This window comes from Homo sapiens, chromosome 16 (assembly GCF_000001405.40).
Source record: "Homo sapiens chromosome 16, GRCh38.p14 Primary Assembly".
NCBI classification, from domain to species: domain Eukaryota; kingdom Metazoa; phylum Chordata; class Mammalia; order Primates; family Hominidae; genus Homo; species Homo sapiens.
In genome coordinates, this window is record NC_000016.10 from 57,319,495 (window position 1) to 57,331,049 (window position 11,555).

Genomic DNA, 11,555 nt, shown 5'->3' on the forward strand with positions numbered 1-11,555 from the left:
TAAAACCAAGATGACAGGTTGATAAGGGCAGCAAACCACCATGGCACATGTATACCTATGTAACAAACCTGCACATTCTGCACATGTATCCCAGAACTTAAAGTTAAAAAAAAAAAAAGAAGCACAGCAGGGGTGGGTTAGAGGGGCTGGCAACCCTAACACATTCTTCCAGAGGAGTGCCTTCCCAATGATTGTCTTTTCAACCTCGTAATGATTTAATATCTAATTTATTTATGTATTATAACATAAATACTAAATTTACTTTTCAATCAACCTTACGTGGGCATGATATAACAGTGAAATGTAAGCCTCCCTCCCTGTCCCTGACCTCTAGTTACCCTCTCCAGAGGTAAGGACTTTTGCCAGTTTTTTCAACAATGGTTTTTATGGTGATTTATGCATTTGAGAGTTTTTGAGATGCTGATGAAAAGTCCCTAGAGGAAGCAATAGGAAAGCAAGATCATGAAATGCCCAGAAAACATAGTCAAACAATCTTTTCTCTGGGCCATCTTCCTTTGCAAACAGTGGTGAAAGCTCCCCTTCCTGTATCCCAGCTAAGCACCTCTTCTTGGTGTGAGAAACTGACTGTGATTCTGCTCTGTGGGTCTCCAAATCTGATGAGACAGGTTATCACTCCATTCCAGATTGATCCTACTGATTGAGTTCCCAAACCAGCCCATTACATTGACCACTGGGAGGTCTGGGTGACTACTATTGGTTCTGGCTATAACCCCTAGTCCAGTTGGTTGTGGCCTTGGTGATGGGTTACTGGTTTCTAGTATTGTAAGCCTATATGTACATGGAACCCCTGTCCTTCTTTTCCTACATATATGATAGTATACAGAACAAATTGTTCTAAATGTTCTCTACAAGTGACTTGGACCACTCTCACCAGTTCTCTTTAACATTGCACTAGAAGTGGAAGCTAGTGCAATAAGTCAAGGAAAAGAAATAAAAGTCATAAGGATTTGGGGGGGAAGCAAAATTCATTATTATTATTATTATTATTATTATTATTATTATTATTAGAGACGGGGTCTTGCTTTGCCACCCAGGATGGAGTGCAGTAGTGCAGTCATGGCTTACCACAGCTTCAAACTTCTGGGCTCAAATGATCCTCCTACCTCAGCCTTCAAAGTAGCTGGGACTACAGGCTGATCTTGAACTGGGCTCAAGAGTTCCTCCCGCCTTGGCCTCCCAAAATGCAAGCCACCACGCTCAACTCCAAACTATCATTATTTACATGACATGATTAGGTACAGAGAAATTTCCAGTAAGTCTACAGACAAGCTACTGGAATCAATAAGTGAATCTGTGCAGAAGTTGATCTTGGTTGAAAAAGAAAGAAAACAAACAAAAATAAGTGAATTTGGAATGGCTGCTGCATCCAAGGTTAATATTTAAAAGTTAATTATATTTTTATAAATAAGCAACATATATAGACATTTGCATTAAAAAATGAAACAATTGGCAGGACATGGTGGCTCCTGCCTGTAATCCCAGCACTTTGGGAGGCCGAGATGGGCAGATCACCTGAGGTCAGGAGTTCGAGACCAGCCTTGCCAACATGGTGAAACCCCAGCTCTACTTAAAATACAAAAAATTAGCTGGGTATGGTGGTGTGCACCTGTAATCCCAGGTACTCGGGAGGCTGAGGCAGGAAAATCGCTTGAACCTGGGAGGCAGAGGTTGCAGTGAGCCGAGATCGCGACATTACACTCCAGACTGGGGGACAAGAGCGAGACTTTGTCTCAAAAAAAAAAAAAAAAAAAGAAAAGAAACATTTTAACTAAAAACTTAAAATGCTATATGATAGAATAAATGATGAAAAATCTCGAAATAGACCCTTTTCACAAGATGGCACCAAAGGCAAAGAAGGAAGCTCCTGCCCCCCTAAAGCTGAAGCCAAATCGAAGGCTTTGAAGGACAAGAAGGCAGTGCTGAAAGGTGTCCACAGCCACATAAAAAAGAAGATCCACACATCACCCATCTTCCCGTGGCCAAGACGCTGCGACTCCAGAGGCAGCCCAGATATCCTCAGAAGAGCACCCCAGGAGAAACAAGCTTGACCACTATGTTATCATCAAGTTTGTACTGGCTACTAAGTTTGCCATGAAGAAGATAGAAGACAACGTCTGGGCGCGTTGGTTCACGCCTGTAATCCCAGCACTATGGGAGGCTGAGGCGGGCGGATCACGAGGTCAAGAGATTGAGACCATCTGGCCAACATGGTGAAACTCCGTCGCTACTAAAAATACAAAAATTAGCTGGGCGTGGTGGCATGTGCCTGTAGTCCCAGCTACTTGGGAGGTAGAGGCAGGAGAATCGCTTGAACCCTGGAGAGGTGGAGGTTGCAGTGAGCTGAGATCGTGCCACTGCACTCCAGTCTGGCGACAGAAGGAGACTCCGTCTCAAAAAAAAAAAAAAAAAAAAAAAAAAAAAATTCATTGTGGATGTTAAAGCCAGCAAGCACCAGATCGAACAGGCTGTGAAGAAGCTCTATGACACTGATGTGGCCAAGGTCATCACTCTGATTCAGCCTGACGGAGAGAAGAAGGCACATGTTAGACTGGCTTCTGATTACGATGCTTTGGATGTTGCCAACAAAGTTGGGATCATCTAAACTGAGTCCGGCTGGCTAACTCTAAATATATATATCTTTTTGCCTTCCTCCAAAAAAAAACTAGAAATTATTACAATGAAAGACATACAAGACCTCTGCACTGAAAACTACAAAGTAATTTTCCAAAAAAGTTAAAGATAGCTAAATAAATGGAGAAACATACCAAAATCATAGATTGGAAGATTTATATTATAATGAATTTTTCTGATTTCTTCAAATTGATCTATAGACTTAATGTAATTCCAGTAAAATCTCAGAATGATTTTCACTGCAAGCTCATTCTAGAATTTATATGTAGAAGCAGAAAACCAGGAATGGCCAAAGTAATCCTGAAGAATAAGAACAGAGTTGGGGCTGGGCACAGTGGCTCTTGCCTGTAATCCCAGCACTTTGAGAGACTGAGGCAGGAAGATTGCTTAAGGCCAAGAGTTCAAGTCCAGCCTGGGCAACATAGCGACACCTCATTTCTATAAATAATTTTAAAAATTAGCCAAGTGTGGTGGTGTATGTCTGTGGTCCCAGCTACTCAGGAGGTTGAGGTGGGAGGATCACTAGAGCCCAGGAGGTCAAGGCTGTCGTGAGTCATGATTGTGTCACTGCACTCCAGCTTGGGAGACAGAGAGAGACCCCACCTCAAAATAAATAAATACATAAATAATAAATAAAATTTAAATTAATTAAATAAAAATAAAATTAATTAATTAATTAAGAATAAAAGAATGGCCGGGTGCTGTGGCTCACGCCTGTAATCCTAGCACTTTGGGAGGCTGAGGTGGGTGGATCACGAGGTCAGGAGATTGAGGCCATCCTGGCTAACACGGTGAAACCCCGTCTCTACTAAAAATACGAAAAAATTAGCCAGGCGTGGTGGCGGGCGCCTGTAGTCCCAGCTACTTGGGAGGCTGAGGCAGGAGAATGGCATGAACCCAGGTGGCGGAGATTGCAGTGAGCCAAGATCACGCCACTTCACTCCAGCCTCGGCGACAGAGCAAGACTCCGTCTCAAAAAAATAAAAATAAATAAATAAATAAATAAATAAATAAACAAACAAAGTTGGAGAACTTCATCAAATTCAAGACTTACTATAAATCTGCAGTGCTTTTTTAAAAAGTGGTGTTGCATCAATCAGTTACCCAAATAGGAAAATATAAATGTTGACCCCTTACCTTACAGTATATACAAAATCAACTTCAGATTTATTGTCGATCTAAATGTGAAAGATAAAACAATAAATATTTTAGAAGAAAACAGGAAAATATCATTGTGGCCTTGAAATAGGCAAATATTTTTTAAATGGTACATCAAAAAACACTAAAACTGGCCGGGGGTGGTGGCTCATGCCAGTAATCCCAGCACTTTGGGAGGCTGAGGCTGATGGATCACTTGAGGTCAGGAGTTCGAAACCAGCCTGGTCAACATGGTAAAACCCCATCTCTATTAAAATACAAAAATTAGCTGGGCGTGGTGGCGGGTGCCTGTAATCCCAGCTACTCAGGAGGCTGAGGCAGGAGAATTGCTTGAACCCAGAAAGCAGAGGTTGCGGTGAGCTGAGATCGCGCCACTGCACTCCAGCCTGGGTGACAGAGTGATACTCTGTCTCAAAAAACAAACAGACAAAACACTAAAATCTGGCTCATGCCTGTAATCCCAGCACTTTGGGAGGCCAAGATGGGAGGATCACTTGAAGCCAGGAGTTTGAGACCAGCCTGGGCAACATGGTGAAACCCTGTCTCTCCTAAAAATACAAAAATTAGCCAGGCATGGTGGCATGTGCCCATAGTCTCAGCTACTCAGGAGGCCGAGGTGGGAGAATCACTTGAACCCAGTAGGCTGAGGCTGCAGTGAGCTGAGATTGTGCCCCTGTACTCCAGCCTGGGAGACAGAGTGAGACTGTCTTAATAAATAAATAAATAAATAAATAAATAAATAAATAAATAAATAAAAAACAAAAGATAAACAAAAACCCACTAAAACCATAAAGGAAAAAAAATGGATAAGTTAGACTACATTAAAACTAAAACTTATGCTTATCAAAAGACATTGTCAAGAAAGTGAAAAGTTGGCCAGGCGTGGTGGCTCACGCCTATAATCCCAGCACTTTGGGAGGCTGAGGTGGGCAGATCACAAGATCAGGAGATTGAGACCATCCTGGCTAACACAGTGAAACCCCGTCTCTACTAAAAATACAAAAAATTAGCCAGGCATGGTGGCAGGTGCCTGTAGTCCCAGCTACTGGGGAGGCTGAGGCAGGAGAATGGCGTGAACCCGGGAGGCAGAGCTTGCAGTGAGCTGAGATTCTGCCACTGCACTCCAGCCTGGGTGACAGAGCGAGAGTCCATCTCAAAAAAAAAAAAAAAAAAAATGAAAAGTCAAGCCAAAGAGTGGAAAAAAATAATTTCATTTAGTTTTATTTTTTTGTAGACAGGGTCTTGCTATGTTGCTTAGGGTGGTCTTGAACTCCTGGCCTCACTTGATTCTTTCACCTCGGCCTCCCAAAGGGATTACAGGCAAGAGCCACTGTGACTGGCTTGGAAAAAAAACTTCTACAAAAATCAATAAGAAAACAACAGACTACTTAAGGGGAAAAAAGGGCAAAAATATTTGAATCAGCATTTCACAAAGAGGATTCCCAAATAGCCAAAAACCAAAAGAGAAAAACTTAAAATAGTGTTCACTTTCACAACCATAATAAGGAACCACTACACACCCAGCAGAATGGCTGAACAGATGCCAAATGTCAGCAAGGAAGTAGAGTATCTTAGTCCATTTCATGCTGCTATAACAAAATACCCAAGACTTGGCAATTTATAAAGAACAGAGATTTATTTCACACAGTTCTGGAGACAGGGAAGTCCAAGGTCGAGGGAATTGCATCTGACCAGGGCCTTCTTGCTGCACCATCCCATAGTGGAAAGTGAAACGGCAGAAGTGCTCATGTGAGAGAAAAGGGAAGGAGGTAGAACTCACCCTTTTATCATGAACCAACTCCAGTGATAACTAAATCACTCCTACCATAATGACATTATTCATGAAGACAGAGCCCTCAGGATCTCTAATCACCTCTTAAATGACCCACCGCTCAACACTGTTGCTTTGGGGATTAATTTTCCAAGACATGAACTTTGGGGGACACATTCAAATCATAGCATAGGGAAAGTAGAAATTTCATATACTGCCAAAGGACATGTAAATTGGTAGAGAACCTGGCAAAAAGTCTTTGGCAGTATCTGCTAAAGCAGAATATATGCATACTCATGACCCAGATGTTCTACTCCTAGATATACACTCAACAGAAATGGGTACATATGGGCTAGGCATGGTGGCTCATGCCTGTAATCTCACCCCTTTGGGAGGCTGAGGTGAAAGCATCCTTTTAGGCCAGGAGTTAGAGATCAGCTTGGGCAACATAGCAAGACCTCATCTCTGCAAAATTTTTTTTCTTTTTAAGTTAGCCTGGTGGCATGTGCCTGTAGTCCTGGCGACTCAGGACTTTGTGATTACAATGAGCTATGATTGCACCACTGCATTCCAGCCTGGGTGAGAGAGCAAGACCCCATCTCCAAAAGACAATGAAAAAGTTTACAGATGTTTACTGCATGACATATACAAGAATGTTCACAGTAACAGTATTTATAATAACTCTACACTGGAAACTACTCAAATATCTATCAATAGTAGAATGAATAAACAAACTGGTTTATTTACATATTTGTGGTTTATCTTTTTTTTTTTTTTTTTTTTTGAGATGGAGTCTTGCTCTGTTGCCCAGGCTGGAGTGCAGTGGCGCGATCTCGGTTCACTGCAACCTCTGCCTCCCGGGTTTAAGCAATTCTCCTGCCTCAGCCTCCCGAGTAGCTGGGACTACAGGTGCATGCCACCACACCCGACTAAGTTTTTCTATTTTTAGTCGAGATGGCGTTTCACTGTGTTAGCCAGGATGGTCTCGATCTCCTGACCTTGTGATCCACCCACCTCAGCCTCCCAAAGTGCTGGGATTACAGGTGTGAGCCACCGTGCTTGGCCAGTTTATCTTTTTAAACTATTTTTGTTTTAGTCAGGTCTTTTTATTTTATTTCATTTTATTTTTAAGTGTACAATTCAATGATTTTTTAGTAAATTTACAGAGTTGTGCAATAATCACCATAATTCAATTTTAGAACATTCCATTACTCAAGAAAGATCCCTCATGACTGTTAACAGTCACTCCCTTTTCTAACCAGCCCCAGTCAACTGTTGTTAATCTAATTGCTATCTCTGTAGATTTGCCCTTTCTGGACATTTCAAATAAATTGAATTATCCAATATGTGGCTTTTTATGTGTGGCTACTTTCACTTAGTATAGTGTTTTTGATGTTCATCCATGTTTTAGCATGTACCAGCACTTCATTCTTTTTAATGGCTGAATAGTATTCCATTGTAAGGACATACCATATTTTGTTTATCAACTCATCAGCCGATGAACATTTTGGTTTCCATTTTTTGGCTACTAAGAGTAATGCTGCTATGAACATTCCTATAACAAGTCTTTGTGTGAACATGTCTTTTCGTTTCTCATGGACAAATGTTCCCAGGAGGGCAATTGACAGGTCATATGGAAAATTTATGTTTAAATTTTAAGGAGACTGACAAACTGTTTTCCAAACTGGGTGCACCATTTTACATTCCCATAATCAATTTATAAGGGTTTTACTTTCTCCACATCCTTGTAAACACTTGTTATTATGTCCTTTTAAAAAAAAAATTATAGCTGTTTTTGTGGTATAAAATGGTATCTCTTGTGGTTTGTATTTCCCTAATGAATAAAAATATTGAACATCTTACCATGTGCTTATTAGCCATTCATATATCTTCCTTGGCAAAATATATATTCAATTATTATATCTACTTTTAAAATTGGATTATTTAACTTCTTGATATTGAGTTGTAAGTATTCTATATATTTTGGATACGTGTCTTTAAGCAGACATACAATTTGCAAATACATTCTTCCAATGTTTAGATTTCCTTAATGGTGTCTTGTAAAGCTTTTAATTTTGATGAAATCCAATTTATCAATTTTTAAAATTTTATGGATTGTGCTTTTGCTGTCATAGCTATGAAATCTTTGCCTAACCCAAAGTCACAACAATTTTCTTCTAAACGTTTTATAATTTTAACTCTATATTTAGTTCTCTGATCCATTTTTAGTTTAGTTTTGCCTATAGTGTGATATAGGGATCTAACTTTCTTCTTTGGCAGATGGATATTCCATTGTTCCATCATCATTTGTTGAAAAGACTATTCTTTTTCTGAGGCATTGCCTTGGCTCCTCTGTTGCAAATCAACTGGCATCAGTGTTAAGAGTGTATTTCTGGGCTTTCACTTCTGTTCCATTGATCTATATGTCTATCCTTATTCAGTGCCACACTCTCTTGACTACTGTGGATTTATAGTAAGTTTTGAAATTGGGAAATTATGTCTTCTAGCTTTGTCACTCTTTTTCAAAATTGTTTTTGCTATTCTAGGCCCTTTGCCTTTTAAAATAAATTTTAGAAATAGCCAGTCAATTTTTGCAAAAAAAAAAAAAAAAAAAAAAAAAAAAAAAAAAAAAAATGCCTGCTTGGATTTTGAGAAGAATTGAATTGGATCTATAGATGAAATAGAGGAGAAATTCCTTATTAATAATGAGTCTTCTGATTTGTAGAGAATGTCTATTTATTTAGAATTTCTTTAATTTCTCTCAGCAAAGATTTGTAATTTTCAGTGTAACAATATTACATGTCTGTAAAATTTATTCCGAAGTTTTTTGTTTTTTTTTTTTTTTGAGACAGAGTCTCACTCTGTCACCCAGGCTGGAGTGCAATGGCACGATCTCAGCTCACTTCAACCTCCACCTCATGGGTTCAAGCAATTCTCATGCTTCAGCCTCCTGAGTAGCTGGGATTACAGGTACGTGCCACCACATGTGGCTAATTTTTGTATTTTTAGTAGAGGTGGGGTTTCACCATGTTGGCCAGGCTGGTCTTGAACTCCTGACCTCAAGTGATCCTCCCGCCTTGGCCTCCCAAAATGCTGGGATTGTTGGCATGAGCCACTGCACCCGGCCCCAAAGTATTTTATACTTTTCGATATTATTGTGAATAGAATTATTTTCCTAATTGTATTTTTGATTGTTCCTGAGTAGTATATATAAGTACAATTGATTTTTTTTTTTTTGAGACGGAGTCTTGCTCTGTTGCCCAGGCTGGAGTGTGATGGCACAATCTCGGCTCACTGCAACCTCCACCTCTAGGGTTCAAGTAATTCTCCTGCCTCAGCTTCCCAAGTAGCTGGGCTTATAGATACCTGCCACCACGCCTGGTTAATTTTTGTATTTTTAGTAGAGATGAGGTTTCACCATATTGGCCAGGATGGTCTTGAACTCCTGACCTTGTGATCCGTCCACCTCAGCCTCCCAAAGTGCTGGGATTACAGGCGTGAGCCACCGAGCCCAGCCACATTGATTTTTTAATACTGTTCTTCTATCCTGCAACCTTGTTCTACTCCTTCATTGTTTTTTTGTTTGTTTGTTTCCTTTTTTCTTTTTTTTTTTTTTTTTGAGAACTTTGTCACCTAGGCTGGAGTGCAGTGGCTCAATCTCGGCTCACTGCAACCTCTGCATCCAGGGTTAGTTAAAGTGATTCTCCTGCCTCAGCCTCCCAAGTAGCTGGGATTACAGGTGCCCGCCACCATGCCAGGTTAATTTTTGTATTTTTAGTACAGACGGGGTTTCACCATGTTGGCCGGGCTGGTCTCGAACTCCTGACCTCAAGTGATTTGCCCACCTTGGCCTCCCAACGTGCTGGGATTACAGGTATGAGCCACCGCACCTGGCCTGCCTTCATTGTTTTGTAGGCTTTGATTGCAGTTCTTTTAGGATTTTCTTTGTATAAGATGATATCATCTGTAAATGGGAATAGTTCTTCCTTTCTGACCTGATTGCCTTTTTTGTTGCCTAATTGCCTGGTTAGAACCTCCAATAACATGTTGAATAGAAATGGCCAAAGCAGACATTCTCGTTTTATTCCTGATCTTAGGGGAAAATCATTCAGTCTTTTACCACTAAGAATGATGTTAGTAGTTTTTCACAGATGCCTTTTATCAGCTTGAGATCCCTTCTATTCCTAGTTTCTGAGTTGTTTTTTTTTTTTTTTTTATCATGAAAGGTGTTGGATTTTTGTCATTTTTTTTTCTTTTTCATTTCTGTCTTTTTTTTTTTTTTTTTTTTGAGACAGAATCTTGCTCTGTCACCCAGGCTGGAGTGCAGTGGCACGATCTTGGCTCACTGAAACCTCTGCCTCCCAGGTTCAAGCGATTCTCCTGCCTCAGCCTCCCGAGTAGCTGGGACTACAGGTGCATGACACCACACCCAGCTAATTTTTGTGTTTTTAGTGGAGATGAGATTTCTTCATGTTGGCCAGACTGGTCTCAAACTGCTGACCTCAAGCGATCCCCACCCAACTTGGCCTCCCAAAGTGCTGGGATTACAGGCATGAGCCACAGCACCTGACCTGTCAATTTTTTTCTGTGTTTATTGAGGATCATGTAGTTTTTGTCCTTTATTTTACAGATATGGTGTATTGCATTGATTGATTTTTATATGTTAAACCAACCATATATTCTTGAGATAAATTCCACTTGGTCTTGGAGGATTTTTTTTTTTTTGGAGAAATTTAGCATTTATATTTATAAGAGATACTGGTTTTAGTTTTCTTTTCGTGTGTATGTGTGATGTCTTTTTCTAGTTTTGATATAAGCATAATATTGGCCTCACAGAATGAGTCAGGAAATATTCCTTCCTTTTCTATTTTTGGAAGGTTTTGAGAAAGACTGGTGTTAAATCTGCGCCTGGGCTCTTCTTTGAGGGAAATTTTTTGTTTTGTTTTGTTTTGTTTGAGACAAGGTCTCACTCCGTCTGTGCAGTGGTGTGGTCATAGCTCACCGTAGCCTTGACCTCCTGGGCTCAGGTGATCACTCCCCTAAGACTCCCAAGTAGCCGGGACTACAAGTGCATGCCACCATGCCAAGCTAATTTTTGTATTATTTGTAGAGATGAAATTTTGCCGTGTTGCCCAGGCTGGTCTTGAAACCCTGGGCTCGAGAGATCCACTTGCCTCAGCCCCGAAAAGTGCTGGGGTTACAGGCATGAGCCACCACATCTGGCTGGAAACTTTTTGATTATTAATCCAATCTCTTTACTTGTAAATAGATCTATTCAGATTTTCTATGTCTTCTTTAGTGAGTTTGTGTCTTTCTAGGAGTGTATACATTTTATCTACATTATCTAATTTGTTGTCATAGAATTGTTCATAGTATTCCATTATAGTCCTTTATCTTTCTGTAATGTGGGTATTAATGCCTCTTCTCTCATTCCTGATTTTTTTTTTTTTTGAGACGAAGTTTCACTCTTGTTGCCCAGGCTGGAGTGTAATGGCGGGATCTCGGCTCACCACAATCTCTGCCTCCTGGGTTCAAGTGATTCTCCTGCCTCAGCCTTCCCAGTAGCTGGGATTACAGGCATGTGCCACCACACCCAGCTAATTTTGTATTTTTAGTAGAGACAGGGTTTCTCCATGTTGGTCAGGCTGGTCTTGAACATCCGACCTCAGGTGATCTGCCCACTTCGGCCTCCCAAAGTGCTAGGATTACAGGTGTGAGCCACCGCGCCTGGCCCTGATTTTGTTACTTTGTATCTTCTCTCTTTTATCTGTGGTAAGTCTAGCTAAAGGTTTGCCAGTTTTGTTGACATTTTCGGAGAACCAACCTTTGGTTTCATCAATTTTCCCTATTGTTTTTCTACTCTCTATTTCATTTATTTCCACTTTAATCTAAATGACTTCATTCCTTCAGCTTGCTTTAGGTTTATTTTGCTCTTTTAAAAAATTAATTTCTTAAGGTAGAATGTTGGGTTACT

The 11,555-nt window shown here is 40.4% G+C and overlaps 1 pseudogene; it reads left to right on the plus strand.

The window, feature by feature from the left end:
• RPL23AP91 (ribosomal protein L23a pseudogene 91) lies at positions 1,842–2,669 on the plus strand (annotated as a pseudogene).